General features: G+C 35.8%; 1 protein-coding gene across 4 annotated transcripts in view, besides 1 other annotated feature; it reads left to right on the top strand.

The window, feature by feature from the left end:
- The window catches only part of NEGR1 (neuronal growth regulator 1), an 886,597-nt gene that overhangs the window by 543,770 nt on the left and 325,183 nt on the right, over window positions 1-17,644 (top strand). The window lies entirely within an intron of this gene.
- Window positions 473-1,059: an enhancer, noted in NCBI's record as "OCT4-NANOG-H3K27ac hESC enhancer chr1:72203394-72203980 (GRCh37/hg19 assembly coordinates)". NCBI's record gives its function as "activates a minimal SCP1, AML or CMV promoter by ChIP-STARR-seq in primed H9 embryonic stem cells {active_cell/tissue: H9 hESC(primed)}" and the evidence as "EXISTENCE:reporter gene assay evidence [ECO:0000049][PMID:30033119]".

Raw genomic sequence — 17,644 nt, 5'->3', positions numbered from 1 at the left:
TAAGACATATCAGTGCTCGAACCAAAGGTATGGAAGGTTTAGAGCCAGCAGAGAGCTGTGTTCCCTGGGGTTGTCCTGGCTCCCCGCCAGAGCCAGGACACACAGGCAGGACACTACTGACAGAAAACTCTACACCAGACAGCATTCCCTTCTTATGGAAAGCAGGGCAACATATAAGGGTTACTAAGAGCTCCTTCCTCCCTTGAGGGCGACAACTGAGGAAAAGGAAAGTAGTGTCCCATGTCACTCTGATCCCCATCCCCAGCTGCTCTGGCCCCAGATGCCCTCATATTGACATTTACCAGAGCCTGTCTCAGCTCAGACCCTGCCTAGGTCCACCAGTTGCCCAAAGTTCTCTGGGGAGGGTGGAGGAAGAGGCTGGGTGTCAAATCAAGCAGATCTTTATTTGCAGTTGTCACTGGGGATGTTTCTTGTTGCTTATTTGTCTGCTAACCTGCTCTTTCAGCTGCATGGCAGGGCTCAAGGCCTTGATGACATCTGTCAGGGCTGAGAAGTGCTTGACTTGCTGGGCCAGAGCGGATTCCACTTCGTTCACAAATGTCTCCAGGCCATAGTCCGGCTGCTTGGTCTTTTTAGTAACTGAAAATAGAGACTGAGGTCCATAAAATGCTTTGCAGAGAGAACAAATGAAGTGAACAGGTTTTTTAGAGGTTCATTTCAGGGGCAAAGAGATGGGATAATAGCAGCCTAGGAAGGAGTGGGAGGAAGGATGATACTTCATTACTTCAGCATGGGCTGTTTCCTCCTTAGTTATGCAGATGGATAGGAAAGCTGAACTCATGTACCCAGCAGGTGCTGGCTCTGGGAAGAGACACAGTTGCCTAAACCGACTGTAATTCCTGCCACCCGTGAGGACTAAAAACCTGAGCCAGAGAGATCCTAAAATTGGGTCACAAAGAAAGAGGGGGCATTACCTGTGGAGAAATAGTCACTTATTGGATCCACTTTTCACCTTCTTCAGGAAAACGGCAATGTAAGGAAATTAGCTATCTTTTTTGTCTTTGCCTGTAAGAACAAAGACTGAAAAATATTTAATCTTTTTGCAAATCTTCTCTTAATTTCTGTGTTATATCCGTATTGGTTACTTTGCACTGGTTATTTGTGGATCATTTCAAATTAACAAATTAATAGAGTTAATAGTAAATCAAAATAAAATAAAATAAAATAAGTTTTAGTCTCTATTTTGTTTGGCATGTATATACCCCAAAATTCTTTAAACTAATGGCAAGATAAATGACCAACTTGCATAGTGAGAGAGTTCTCCTATCTGCTTCATTACTTTTTTCCTTTGTTGCTACAACAAAAACATGTCTACATCTTAATCTCCATTTCGAGGGATGCAACTAAGGCCTAGACTTTCAGTCAACATTAGCATTCCCTCCCAAGGAAAAAAAAAAAAAAAGGCTGTTTTCTCACCTCTGTCCAACGGGTGTTTGAATGTAAAATATGTAGGGAAATCAAGACCAGAATTTGTAATTCTAGAACTATTGAAAAACTAGTTGAGCAAAGGTAAGAGTTTAACAGACATTTTGGGATATGATATGGTCGAGCCTATTTCATTTCCCTTTTCAAAAGTTGAAAAATCAAAAGGATTTCTTTTAAAATTCAGGTTACATCTCTACTTTGCTTGAGGTTTATTATAGTTGAAAGACTGGTTTTACACATAAAACTTTTTTGCTTAAAACATGCATGAATGGTTTCTGATTTCTTCTCATCCAGATATTTGAGAACAATTTTAGGAAGCACCCAACTTTACTACATTGCATTTTCAAGTGTTCTTTCCTGACTCCTCTTACAGAGCCCATCCAAAATGTGCCTTCATGATGTTAAATACCAGTTGGCATTTTTAGTTTGGTTGGAATAGAATTGCAGAATTTTGCTTTTCTTAATTGTGAAAGAGGCAGATAGTTAACCACATTTTTTCTCCTTCTGCATATCTAAAAATGCATTCAATTCTTCAGCAAATATTTAGTTCTTTTATTATACGAGACATTGGAAAGCATTAATCTGAAGAACTAGTTACAGTTGAGGTTCCTCATCACAAGGTAATATCCTGGGAAAACTCTGATCCAGGAGCACTTTTCTGACTCCATTCAAACTATTTCCTGAAGGCAACCAGCAGATTACTTCATGACTTGAGGAAACCTGAAAGGTGGCAGCTTTTGCTGGCTCAGATAGGAAATAAGCCTTTTCAAGAAACTGTACTCAGTGCCAATTACAAAGCCTTTAATCAATTAATAATTACTGCAGCACATTATGACTTTCTCTATGATTGCTGCTCGAACTTAGGGGAAAAAATACATTTTAAATGGTAATTTAATGATTAACCGTAAAGTAGGTATTTAAAATCAAAGGTGCTGCTTACATTTTCAAAATCTCTAAATATATGCAAACAAAAGGAAAAAAATAGTTCTTGTGAAAGTATACAAGATCTTTAAATATTAAATCCCAGACCACATTTTAGACATAAAATTCATCAAAACATTTTCAACAAATACATCAAAGTGGGAAGAAACTAATAGTTTGACTGAACTAATAGACAATAATCAATAAGAAACTTTTAAATATAATTTTAAAAGTTAGAAGATAGTATTTGCTTTTCAAAAATAAGAAAATTCTTTTTTCTAATTGGCTAGCCTGGCTTTGGTCAATGTACTTGATAATTTTGAGCTTTCTACACTGAGGGTAATGAAATATTAAAACAATAATCTAGGGAGGTTGTGAAGTGTATTATCAGGAACTCTGTCAATATTCTCTTTGTCTAAACATTAATTGATCATTTCAATAAAAGGTAAGGACTTTTTATAGTCTACAGCATGATTACAAAGTAGATGACTTTCTCAGTACTTCCTAACCCTTTAATTCATATGTAACAATTTAATTTTTTTTCAAATTCCTTTAAGCACCTGATATTATTCTCAGATGCCTCACCTTCAGTTGTGGCCCTCTAGTACCTGTCATCAAAAAGTAGCACAGAGAATGGAATATCTGAAATACCATTCAAAAGTATATTTTATCTATTGCACGTAATTATTTATATAATTATGTACTTTTACATTTTATATACTTAATTATATGTATACCCACGATGTGTGTGTATATATGTGTGTGTGTTTATGTGTATTCATTTTTGCAGTTCTTATCATAGCTACTAGAATCTTGCTTATTTTTTTCAATCCAGTGTCTGTAATTGTACTATGCTCCTATATGTTTTTCTATAAATCATGTAATCACTCCATGTCATTTGCCATTTTAAGAGGCAATGTCCCCCTTTACCAGCCACCCAATTAAGCAACCATTCATTAAATATCAGATTTCAGGTTCACCCTGCCACTTTTGAAGTACTTTGAAAATTATAGTGATGTATTTTGTGCTCTCAACAGCTTACAGTTAGTGGTGGGTTAAAAATCACTATCGAGGTAAAAATAACCATAAATAAGAAAGAGACTCAAGCAAAGTTTGGGATAGTGATAAAATTTATCTTGGAGCTCTTAGGGTTTTGTAAAGGAAGTTCCATTTTAAGTGTGTCTTGAAAGATGAATACTAAACCTGGCTGCATTTTAATGGATGAATTAGAGGATCAAGAAATGAAAAACTCATGCTGAGATAGAAGTGCTGGTGTGGCATCCATATGAACATGTTGATGTAACTGGTAACTGAAAATTAAGAAATAGGCCACATCTAGTGAAGAAAAATTGGAAGTTGGCAAATTAAAACCAAAGGAGTAACAGAGTAACAGAGATTTCCGGGTAAAAAGTGTATTGATTGAACTTAAAGATGCAGAGAGTAGAGCCTTGGGGAAATGACTGTAATTAAATGGAAATGGAGGGGAAAAAAAAGTTAAGGTAACTGAAGAAGAGCAGGCAGAGACAAGAGAACTGAAGAGGACAATGCAAGAAGAAAGCATTTAAGATGATCAAAGACTGCAATGGCAAGACAATGACTCGGCCCACTGCATTTAAAATTATTAGGGCACTGATGAATTTAATGAAAGCTGTTTCAGTGGTACACTAGTGGTAAGAGTCAGATTATAGGAGTAGAAAGGCAGAATTCATTTGGGAGGAATGAGGGAGACTAGTCTTTAAGGAAGTGTGGCAATAAGGAGAAAAAGAAAGATGGGGTGATAGATTGTGTTAGAAGCATAGTTAAATCAGCATTTATTTTTACTTTAGTAAAATTAAACAAAAAGGGATAAGCCATTGTGGAAGAGTTATTAACATAGGAGAAAGAAAGGAGAAAAGTTGTTTGGAATAATCAAAATAATTGTAACAATTACTTATTGAGCTCTTACTACATGCTAGGCAGTATTTTTGTCACTTTATATAAAATAAGTCAATAGCCTTCCAACAATTCTGTCAATGTAAGTATTCTTATATCCATTTCACAGATAAGGAGACTGAAGCTTGCTTAAGAGTGGTTAAATATCTTGCCCAAAGTACCTGCTAGGGAGGGATAAAGATAGAATTTGAACTGAGACCATCTGGCTTCAGCCAACCAGCTCTATAAACAAACCATTCTGCGGGTCTTACTTGTGCAGCCAGTAATTGCCGGTCCTATTCTTTTGGTGAAGATGTTGAACCTGAGAAAAATCAAATGCTTTTTCTTATTTATTCTGTGCTCTGCCCTATCCTTAGGGTCCTAGGTAATGTTTGGAATGCATCAGTCCCAACCTTCCTGTACTACAATAAGTGAATAAATTGCTCACAATAATTTGAGGAAGCCTGGGGTCTTTTATGAGCATTTCAAATGATTAATAAAGTATGTAAAATAATCAGATTGTCTGGATCTGAATAGTGTTGAAAGATTTAATAGTTTCCAATGTTGAGAAGTTTCAACATACTGGTTGAAATCAATGAACAAGTTATCCATTTGATAGTGGGGGGAAGATGTAGCACATCAAGTTTCTTGGATTTTTTTAGGAATCAGTACTATACAGGCAGTTAGATGACATATATAATTCTGCACCATTTTATTTTGGTCTACAATTATATCACTACTGTATTATATTTTGCTGTTTTAACAAATGAGCTCTGATGAATTTGCCAGTATTTAACTTTTCCTGGGTCTCTCATTTTCATTCTACTTATCCTAGCTTCTCCACTCCCCCACTAACTTCTATAATTTTTCCTTTATTGGAAAGTTCTCAGAGCCTTGGGCTCTTCAGTAGAAAGTATAGTATGAAGCTGGAAGATAAATAATACATCAGATCACTTCTACTCAATCTGGGCAAGTGACATTTACAATTTTAACAAACTGGAGGCATGATGGCAAATAAGAGAATATTTGGAACAGAGTAAACTTCAGTTACAATACAGACTAAAATTCTAAGAGTGTTCTTTCTCATTTGGCTAATATATGTAATTCAAGTTTACTGGAGGAATGTTCTCACTCAGATGCTAAACTGCACATCTGCAAACTATTCCCACAGAAACAATCTGAGCAACGCCCACCCTCAAAACCCTCACTGATTCTTATCATTTCTGTAAAGACAATATTTCTTTCTCCAAAGAGCAGCAGATATATCAGATGTTTGAGTATTAAAATGTAGATACACTTGCCTTTTAAATCTCACTCTAATCTCTGACGCTAAAATCAGCACACTGTGCAGCATTTTGAAGAGTGCTTTCTTTGGAATAATAATTCCAGTAGATGATCTGTAGGAAAAAAAAAAAAAAAGAGCTATCCTGTGACCATATTTGACTTGAGAAAAGCTGAGCACACCTGTCTTGGAGACTCACGATGCACATTAACATATTAAAGGCTCTGGAAGTCCAGTAATAAGGAATTATGTGGGGTTTGTTTTTTGTTTAATTCATACTTCCCAGGTTTATTTGAAAATCGAAAAACATTTTGTCCTTAATCCTATTAAGAGAACTTTCTATAAAATGGAATTTTATTGGTGGTAGATATTTTGTAGTATCCTTCCCATTCTCAAAAACCCATTTTGTGAAATGCCACATTCTCTGATTTGCTCTGTATTTCTTAGTACAATAGCATAAAGAGAAAATTGAACATTCTTGAGGACTTATGTGTCAGTCATATCAATTTATATTTTTAGTAATATAAAATGGACAAATCTTTGGAAAGTGTCAGGAAAAAAAACTTGATTTTTTCTTCTAAAAGCACTGCATCCTCACAGAGGTTTGAAGCTAACTAGCAGGAAACACCTGCATCTTATCAATGTCAACACGAATGCCTCTAAAAAGAACACAAGCTGGCGCGCGCGCGCACACACACACACACACACACACACACAGCATTCAGTAATGTGTCGAATGTGGCTAATTAATTTAAGGCAGTAACTGATTAGTATAAAATTGAACACATTGGCTGAGACTGGGTCCATGATAGAAAATCAAGATATCTTCAATTTCTTATATACTTGTGAAATGTATGGGGTTTTTTTGTTGTTGTTTGTTTGTTTGTTTTAGATAAGGTCTCACTTTGTCACCCAAGCTGGAATGCAGTGCTACAATCTCGGCTTGCAATGTCGGCTCACTGCAGCCCCTACTTCTCGGACCCAAGCGATTCTCCCACCTCAGTCCTCCAAGTAGCTGCGACTATAGGCGTGTGCCACCATGTCCAGCTAATTTCTGTATTTTTAGTAGAGATGGTGTTTCACCATGTTGCCCAGGCTGGTCTCGACTCAAGAGATCCACTGCCTCGGTTTCCCAAAATGCTGGGATTATAAATGTGAGCCATCACTCCCGGCCCGAAATGTGAATTCTTTATCATTGATAATAAACACCAATGCCTCATGAAAACTGGAGGCTTCAATTTGAGTCAATTAGTATCTCCACAATAAGGATGCAAATAGAAGTCTAATAAGTGACCATGCTAAATTGACTCTCCCCTTTGTTCACTGGTGAATAAGGGAAGATATCAAGTTTTTAAAGTACTAATCCCAAACTTAAACGACCTTAAAACTAAATCTTGACAGTTTTATATCAGTGCTGTGTAATTGTTATGCACTAGCAAAGCCTGTGGAGTCAGAAGATGCTGTATATGAAAACAATATATCAGTGTTGCATCTTCTCCTGCAGAGGAAGGTAATAGCAATGATCACTTTCGGCAAGTCCAGTTTTGCCTGCTCTACTGATGAACAGCCAAGAAAAAAGATGTGTGCTTTTTAAAGGAAATTTGTATTTTTAAAAAAAGAAAAATCTTGTCTTTATGTTGAAGAAATTGTCCTTTTCCACTTATTGCTCTTAACCAAAATAATTATCTCTATTAGCAATAGTTCTGTTAAGTTTATTTTGAACATATCCCTTACATTGGCTCTGCCTTTTTAAAAAGACCCAGAATGGTTTTTGAAAAGTATAATTTCAGACACCAGGGTGAATACTCCTCACCCTAAGTGCTAATCACAAATGCTGAGTTCCACCATCATGTAATCATGCAGTGATGGTCATTTGGCAGTAGAGCCACTCTGAGTAGAGGGGGCTTCTGGAAGAACAGTGCTCAGAGTTGATTTCTACGTATTATTCTACAAAATATGTCATATGGTATTTTTTTCAAAAATGAGAGGAGAAGCTCTAGAATACATACCACATAAAATTCACCATGTAAAATTTACCTTCTGGACCTAGAATATGTTGTTAATAAGAATGATAACCTTGATCTTATCTTCATTAAATTGTTGAAAGCACTAATCCATTTAAGAACAAAATCCCACAAGTTTCTATTCGTGCTTTCTGAGCCTCAATGCTTATTAGGAACAAAAAAAGTAAAAAGCCCAGTAATGACAAAATTAAACAATTTCTTACTTGCTATTGACCTTTAGCTTTCTTTTCCATGGTAATTTCTTTGTATAATCAAGTTACATACACACACACACACACACACACACACACACACACACACACACACACGAATGCTTCACTACACCAGTAGCATATGTCCCTATGAAAACTGTAGGGGTGTCTCAAGAAGACTCTTAGATTTAAATGCCAAACAATTTTGATACTAAAGCTAGTTAAAACAGATGTTTGTGAATATTGAGAATAACTTTTTATTTACATTTTGTGACTTTTCATATTAATTGTAGAAGGTAATAGTCTGTTTGATACTATTTTGGAAAATGTGGAAGTGAATTTAAAATGGCTTTCAAAAATGTGTTTGCAGAGTATGGAAAGCCATACAGACTTTTCAAATTTATATATATATATATATATATATAAATTTATACTATATATACACATATAATTTGAAAAGTCAAATTATATATATAAAACATATATATTCAATAAAATTATGATAGTAATTTGCATCTTATATGACTTGAAAACTATCATTCAGAAATCTTAGTTCAAGCCAGAAGTCCTATTAAGTTTTACTCGATTCATTTTTTGAAAGTCATGGTTACCATTGCTATCATTTTGGCATGAATTGCACGTTAGACATGTAGACCTATTTCTATGGTCTCTGACTATTGTCTCTTTTTCCAAATCATTTCCTGTTGTTTTCACTACTAATGTAATCAACTCTCAAAGCAGCTCCCTCTGCTGCTCTTATTTTTACCATCTACTTATCTGAACAAATAATATTTTCTCCAAAAAACTTGTACATGTTCTAGTTATCTTTCCAACTAATGACTCAAGGTTGTTTGTATCTTCTTGTAAAAACCAGTTTTTAAAGGAGATCTCCTTTTCCTCTTGGTATTAGAATTTGTATCTGTCACCAAATTAATCTTTCTGATCCCCTATTTCAATGACCAGGTTTAACAGTCATTTTTCCACTTTGAAATTACTTTGATTAATTTTTATCAATTTTTATTTCAAAGTTAGTTTTGGACTCTCTCATAAGTTATTGTCTCTCAATAAAAAAGATTCTTTTCTCATTAAAACTATTCAACTAGGCTGGGAAACATGGAAAAACCCCATCTTTACAAAAAAAAAAAACCAAAAACCAAAAAACAAAACAAAACAAAACAAAAAAACAAAAATTAGCCAGGCATGATGGTGGCATGCACCTATGGTCCCAGCTACTAGGGAGGCTGAGGTGGAAGAATCACTTGAGCCCCAGAGTCGGAGTTTTCAGTGAGCCAAGATTGCACCACTGCACTCCAGCCTGGGCAATAGCAACACTCTGTCTAAAAACAACAAAAACAACAACAAAAATTATTCAGCTACATCTCTTAATGAGTTTTGTTAATTTACCAATGCAAATCTCTTAGATTTTTACCGTAAATCACAACCTTCATTAATCAACAGGTATTTATTAAAAGCCTACCCCATGCCAAAGCATGGGATACAAATAGTGAGCAAAATAGAAAAAAGCATCTTCTAGAGCTTTCACTCCAGTAAAGAAGACAGAAGATAAATATTAAGCATAATAATACATTATATAATATAAGGTGGCTAGACTAGATTTGATTTGATTATGATTAGTTTAGGTGAAAAAGAATAAAACCTGGTAAAGTGGATTGGGAATGATAGGGCAAGGAAGAAGATGTTTCAATTTAAATACTTTTGTGAGAGGAGCCTCATTGAGAAGGTGTTATTGGAACAAAGCTGTAAAGGCAGAGAGAAATTTTGCACACAACTGGTGGTGTGAGGAGCATGTCAGGCAGAGGCAGCACCCTGTGCAAAATCCCTGGGGTAGGAGAGTCTTATGTTTGGCGAGAGGAAAGGAGGCCAGTATGCTTGGAGTAGAGGAGAAAAAGGAGAGGGTGTGAGCAAGTAGAATAAGAGGTCACAGAACTGGCCAGATCACAAAAAAGTTTTAAGCCGTGGTAAAAAAAAAGTTTCCATTTCTTCTCTATCATGTTCTTCTGTCAGAATTGGATGGTAGGTATGCACTGTCACATTAATACTGCAAGAAATGCCTGCTCCTAGCTCCCTTATCCTTCTCCTCCTCTCCCAGGTGGACCATCAAATTTCCCTCCCAGGTGGACTATCACTACAGAAAGAATAACTTTTGAGAAAGGGAGTAGTGAAGAGCTGAAGAAAACTTACGCTAATGAGCACATACCTTGTATAACTCTGTGCTGCTTACTGTGATATATTTTTACATTATTTAGTGCTAAAAACTCTGAGAGGCAATCAATGTTCCTTTCTTTACAGAGGAGTAATATGAAGTTCAGAGAGCTTATGAAAATTGTCTAAAAATCACACAGCCAGTAAAGTTCCTACTCGAAAATCAAAAGAGAAAAAAGCAACGTTAGATTTTGGTGAAAGATTTTTTGAAAGAGTGTCAGTAAAAAATATGTTGAGAACATGTAAGAAAAGATAGAAAGTCAGAATATAGAACTGTTCTAATGGGGTAAGTCTGTGGTCTCCATCTTACCCACATGCAGCTTCAGTTTGTCATGAGATGGGAGTCACTAGGAAACATAAACCTCAGCAGTAGTTTTCTCAGTAGCAAGGAAGGTCCTGCTTCTAGTTTCATCTCCCTAATTTACCCTTCCAGTTACTCTGCCTGGACTCCAATGTGTTATTTTATTCCTCTGTGTCTCCAAAATTTTTGCACATGTCTCTTACTTCTGGATGTTGGTTGTATATTGATTGAGTTGAATTGAAATAAATCAACATTCCACCCACCCTGGTCTCTTGGATCGTTGCCTATATAAGCAACCCACTTCAGTCAGTGCCTTCCTTTTTGACTGGATAATTCTGGTCTGCCTGCTCACATTAGAAACTCTTCTAAGCTCTTTTTTGTTGCAAAGCATGAGCCTAAATGCTGACTTGCCTGAATGGATTTCATATACCTGTCCCGTATTGAATGGTCCAGGCTTATGACTTCTTGCTTAGCCAAACTTTGTTATGCCAAACTTTGTTGCCTCTTTCTAATGTGTCTCTTTCTAATCCCAGCCTCTCCAGTTGCTTCCTAACTTTTCATACTTACAAGGCTTCGCACCCCACTGGCTGTTCTCAAGGCATTTCTCACTGTTCTTTAACATAAACTCAATATTCCACTTTAGCAGATTAAGGACTGTCCCTTAACCACATGTGGAATAAGATCGCTTTTGCCTTTGTGTTATACCTTTATCCTTTGCCCTTAGCCTGAAATGCCCTCCATGAATACAGTTCTTTTCTTTCAGACTACACAAGTCTTGCTTTTCCTACCAGTGCACTCCACTCTGAGGACTTCTGTCCATTTTATGAATTTATTTTCTGTTATGCTTGCACCACAGCACAGAAGAAAATGGACTCTGTTCTTTCTTGTATTTGTGCTTGTTTTGGTGATTGTGCCTCTTCCAAGTCAGTCTGCAATCTCCTTGAAAATGAATTGAGTGATAGCTACTTCTCTTGATTTTTTCTCCATGGATTATTGACATATTTTAGTAACCTAGTAATTCCTAATAAATGTCTGAAGTGTGAGTACTAATGCAATCTTTTATCAAAGCTTTAGCAATTCAGCTTCTCAGTTTATGAATCTTTTGGCATATCCTGAATTTATTTTATTGATGTTTAATTCAAAGTGGTTATTACTTATTTGTTTTTATATGGTATATTAAAATTATGCACACTTAGAAATCACCTTAACATTTTTAACATCAAAAAGTATAAATTATAAGAAATAGAAGAGCATCCAGATAGGAAACTGAAAGGAAGTAGGTAGGAATGGAGGGGACAAAATAACAAAGTTTTATACAGTAATGCAGAAAATAAAATCTAGCCTCATCTCACAAATGGTACCTAATTGGAGCTATTGATTATTGATAAGGGGCAGAAATAAACAAGTTAGCAAGAATTCTGGCATCTTGCTGATGTTGTAGCTCTCAGTCACATACTAACCATAGTAAAGGTCCCATATTTGCTGAACCTAAGAGGGTTCAGGCTATGCACTATATTAGGTCACGTAGAGTAACACATGTCAGGGAAGCATACCTGAAGGATTAGTGGTATGTATTTTTTACATGCGTAGCATTTTTTTTTCTTCTGTGGAATTCAGTATGTATTGGGAGGAACTGCTCTTCGTAGTTAGGATAGGCTGACTCTACTCTGTCTTGTCCAAGTTGAACATGGGATGGGGACTTCATCCTATTACCTCATTCCTTTGGCTACACTGATTGCCCTAGAGATGGACATGTGACTGCAGGACCTATCAAAGCTTTTGGGGGAAAATTGATATTGATGCTGGAAAGAAGAAGCCTCAATCTTTCTGAGATTAAAGACATTAAGAATAATATGAGCCTGGTGATGTGGGATCTATCTTTACAATCACGTAGAGAGAACCTTCTTGATAGTAAAAACAACATAAAAGAAAGCATTACCAAGAAATGTAGGGCTTGTGAATTCTGATGACAATGTCTGAGTTCTTACCACCAGCTCCTAACTTCGGAATCTTCAGTACTTAAAACAGTAAATTTCCCTTTTTGTTTAACTAGTTTAAACTGAGTTCCTAGCACTTCGAAAGCAAAGAATCATGCTTAATGCAGTTATCATGTGGCACCCTGCAGAGCAAAGAAGTAGTTGTATTTGTGCGATACACAGAGCAAAATCAGAAGGATCTCTCAGAATTTCTCTTTTTCTTACTCACTCTCAAACTGGGTGGGGATAAAAAAATCCACACTTTATGATTACTTGCAGAAAGTATAAAAGAACTACTTAGAGTCTGGGTTTCACAGAAAAAAAAATAAATTCCAGCTAACACTTGACAGTAACAGCTGTACTTGAATAAGGATCACGTAAGTACTGTCTAAGTTTTCTAAATACTAACTCCAATAACTCACAACAGCAGCAATTTGTCATCCAGCATTCTTTCCAAGCATCAGTATTAAGAAGTTATCTTTGATAAATTTTTCAGCACATGTCCACTTGTTGAGGATGGCATTTTTGTTAATTTTTTTAACCAGATTGATCAGAGACACAAAAACAAATGTCACTTATGTAGAAGTAGAGAGATGCTGAGCAGATAAAGTCAATTCTTCTATCACTGAGGAGGAGCAGTGATATTGACATCATTTGGCATAGAATATTGTTCTATTCAAGATTTCAAAATAAAAACTAGAAACTATGCTATAATCCAAGTGTGTATCAAACAGAAAGAGGAGGAAAAGGATGGCAAGTTTAGATCCATCAGAGTGTTTTCAAAGAAAATAATAACAATAATGACAAAAGCCCAGCCTACAGAGATTTCGTGAGGATGCATTCTGGAAATAAGTTATCAAAATACTGAGAAGACTAACATTGTGTTTTGAAGAGTATTTTTTTTAATTTGAAAATAACAGTTGCTTAAAATAGAAAATTATTAATCGTAAAGTTCAGCATACGCTTCTTACTTGTGATGCAACTATGTGCTTACACTAAAAATTAAGTGGAAAACTAAAAGAGCTCCAGAATTGATGAATGCTGATGGTGTAGTTAACTCATTTCCTTAACTCTTATCAGCATGGATAAAAGTTCAATCCAAGAGTATCTGCAATGACGGATCAAGGTGTGGGTTCTATAACAATAAAATTTTCCGAAAGAGAGGAATGGAAGCAATGAGTGGTGAGAGGGCATCAGAGATTACACAATGTACGTAAAAGACCTAGTATTAGTTCTACTGTTTCTAGAAGACCAAGTATAAAAGTCTGATACATAGTAAATTTTAGCTATTATTAGTTATTGAAATTCTTCTATCGATCAGATCTTCAAAATACATCTTGACTTCTGTTTCTAGCCAAAGAGTAATATAATAGATACCAGATTTTCTCTTGCAATGAAATAACCAAATAATTGACAAGAATATATGAAACAGTTTGGAAAACACTGAACATTAGGCAATGAAGGTTGATGATTCCTCAGAGGCAGGAAACAAGGGAGAACCACACTGCTGCTTCACCTTACTGCTTTGAGAGAGTAACTAGGCTGTGGGTTAGGGAGGTGAAATCCAAGTCGAGCCTCACAGACTCACTGAAGAAAGGAGATAAAGCTGACTCCAGAGGGAGCAAGGTGGTTAGAGATCACAAGAAAAAGTACCAGAAAGAAGAAAATGAGAGAGAGAGAGATAAAGGGAGAGATGCTGAGGGTATTCCCTGACATATGAAGCAAATACCAGAGGCTGGAGAATTACACAAAAGATGTAAACATAACTGTGCCTGGTATAACAGGGGATAATTAGCTCTGGGCTGAGCATTGTGCTGGTTCCAATGAAGAAGTCTTAAAAACAAGATTCAAAAAGATCAAACTGTTTTCAAGTGACATAAATATACCCAAGAACAAAGCTCAAGAATATTCATAAGAATACAAAAGCATCTATCAACCAATGAAATAAAACTAACAACATATGCCATCCAATGAAAAATCATCAGGAATGCAAAGAAGCAAGAAAATATGATGCAAAAAGAGGAAATAAATCAATTAATCAAAACTGATCCAGAACTGACATGTGTTAAAAGCACCATTAAAATCACTTCTATACCTATATTCTGTTTATACAAAAAATAAGGCATGAAATATATTTCTATCTATGTAACTATCATCTATCTATCTGATTTTTTAAAAGACCCTAAATGAACTTCCTAAGATAAAAACTACGATGTATGGTGTGATCCACTGGATGCAATTAAAGGTAGATTAAATTGCATAAGAAAAATTTAATATATTTGGAGATGTAGCCATAGAAACTGTCCATGATGAAACAGAGAAAAGAGAATTTTAAAAAATGAATCCAGCATCAGTAAGCTGTGGGACAATTTCAAACACTGTAATCTTCATGTAACTGGAGACCCATAGGGAGAGGAAAGAGAGATAAGTTCTTTTTAAAATAAGAAACGTAGATAGAAAATTTTCCAAATTTGATGAAAACCATAAGCCTGGTGAGAGGACTTTTTTTTTCCCTCTTGACACCAAATACAGGTATCTTTTCCAATGATACTTCTTGAACTGACACCGTCTGGGTGTCCAAGGATTTAATTCAATTCTAATACTCAACCTGCAACTAGTGTCAGATACCACAAGTTAGAGTTGAGTTACACAAGACTGCCCCCACTTTACACACCAATTACAAATCCGAGGACACCTGTACTTTTGCCCAACTGGCTACAAATAGGGGATTCCCACTTCCCCCTCTCTGGTTCTGTAATTTCCTGGAGAGGCTCACAGAACTCAAGAAGGCACTTTGTTGTAAGGCACTTCAATTTATTATAAACGATACAAGTGAATAGTGAGATGGGGTACATAGGGTGAGGTCTGAAAGCCTTCCAAGCACAGAAACTTCCGTCTCTGTGGAGCTGGGGTACACCACAGTCCTGGCATGTGGATGTCTTCAGAAGCTCCCTGAGCCCTGTTGGATAGGGGGTTTTATGAATGTTTTATTACACAGGCATGATTGATTAAATCATTAACCATTCATGATTAGCTCGTTCTCTAGCCCCTTGCCCTTTTCCAAAGACTGGCAGGTGGAGCTGAAAGTTCCAAATTTCTAATTGAGGTTTGATCTTTTAGCTGAGCAGCCCCCAACCTGAATCTATCAGGGGCCAGCCAAAAGTTGTCTCATTATGACAAATGACACTCTTATTATCACTCAGGAAATTCCAAGGGTTTTAGGAGCTCTGTGCCAGAAACTGGGGACAAATACCAAATATATTTTTATGTTACAACACCAAGAGACCAAAGATGTTCAATGAATTCTAAGCCCAATAAAGATTAAAACAACAGCAATCACAACCAGGCACATTACAGTCAAATTACTAAAAACCAGTGAAGAGAGAGTAATATCTTAATAGCAGCTAGATGAAAAAGACATAATATAGAGGAACAAAGATAAAAATTACAGCAGTTTTTTTTTTCAGAAACTTTCTAGGAAAAGTACATTTTCTATGATTCCATTTATATAAAATACTAGGAAAAACAAACTAATGTGGGATGACAAAAGAAGCTGTAGTTGCCTGGAGGTAGGACTTACAGAGAGGAACAAAAGGGAAATATTGCAAAGGTACACAAGGAAACTTTTAGAGGTGATGGATATATTCCTGATCTTGAATGTGGTGATAATTCAATGGGTGTATTCCTATGGTAAAACTTATAAAATTGCATTTAAGAGTGTGCAGCTTATTGTATTATGGTTATTTCTAAATAAAGCTTTTAAAAAATAAAAAAAATGTATGCCAATTTTTTTCTGACCCACACAACACAATAGTTCCTATATTTTGTAGCTAAGTAAAGAAATAAAGCAATGTTAAAAAGGCTTGCCCAAGACCAATTAACAAAAAACCCACATCTATCTAAATTCAACGGCTATTTATTCCCATTGTTTTTTGCTGTTACACAGACAAGATTAGCAAATTCTAAACTTTATTTTTGACTGTAGGAAATGAAAATTATATACATGACGTATTATCATATGAAGCATGCTCATTGAAAAGTATAAGATACCCTTAATGACAGAGATCATATATCATTTCAATCCTTTAATGCTATGTAATTTTACTTAAAAATAAAATAATACGTGGATAAATTAAATTAATAAAAATAAATTAAAATAATTTACCATATTTCTGAAGGTAAGAAAATGTTTTTCTAAGGTTAGGAAACGGAGGAGGTGGTCTATGTACAAGGGAAGGGAATGGGAAGAAAACATTCTATTTGCAAATAATTGAGACAATCATCATCTCAGTTCGTGAGTTGTTACCTCCTAACTTATCTTCCATTTTCTACTCATGCCTCCTCAATCTATTCTCCAGAGAGAAGCCAGAGTGATCTTCTAAAAGCACAACCAGATAATAGCACTTAATTGTTGAAAAGTCCCCTAATGTCATTTCGTTATGCTTAGAATAAAATAAAAACGTCTTACCCTAGTTAAAATCTACATGTGAACTGACTTCCACTTTCCACTCATCTCATGCTTCTCTTCCCCTACTTGCCTCCTTTCAGTCTTTTTATTCTTATTCTGCCTTGGACTCACTTGCACTAACTGTTCTCTTTGCCAAGATTCCTTTTTCCCTATGTTAACATGGAAGCCTCTTTGATGACATTAAGGTCTCCACTTAAATGACTTTTAGTGACCATCAAATTGCATTCATCCAGTGAGCAGGCAGTAACTCTCTATCACATCATTTTACTTCAACGTTTCTCCATCGGGGGCAATGTGGCCTCCTACAGGTTATTTGGAAATGCTTACAAAATTGTTGAGTGTTGACTGCTACTGGTATTTAATGATAGATGCCACAGATGCTCTAAACATCCTACAATGTGCAGGACCACAGCCACACACACAAAGAATTATATGGTCCAAAATAGCAGTAGTGCCAACTTTTAGAAAACTTGCTCTATTTTACTTCCCCCTGCAAAGCATGTGTAATTATCTGATATCCTAGTCTATGTTTACTTTTTTATTTTATTTTTTGTACCAATGAGAACAGGGACCTTGGATGACCTGTTCACCCTTATATTCCCAGCTTTTAAAGTAATGACTACACAGAATGTTTTGTCATTCAGTTTATATTTACTGATTGACTGAATGCCAACCACATCTTCCATTAAAAAACATTCTATATAACTTGTTGAGTATTCCTGCAACTGACCTCCATCATTAGCTGAAGGCATGTTTTCCCCAGAGTATGATTTGAGAATCAAGGACAAGGGATTCGACTTTTTGTAAGTTTTCAAAGAAAAAAATGGTGTAAATGCCAGAAATTTTCAGGGTAGGTGGGTGGCCAAGCAAGTGTTAAGACTAAAATTATTTTCATAGCTTA

The sequence above is a fragment of the Homo sapiens genome, chromosome 1 (genome assembly GCF_000001405.40).
Source record: "Homo sapiens chromosome 1, GRCh38.p14 Primary Assembly".
Taxonomy (NCBI): Eukaryota; Metazoa; Chordata; class Mammalia; order Primates; family Hominidae; genus Homo; species Homo sapiens.
This window is presented reverse-complemented; position numbering and strand designations above follow the sequence as displayed.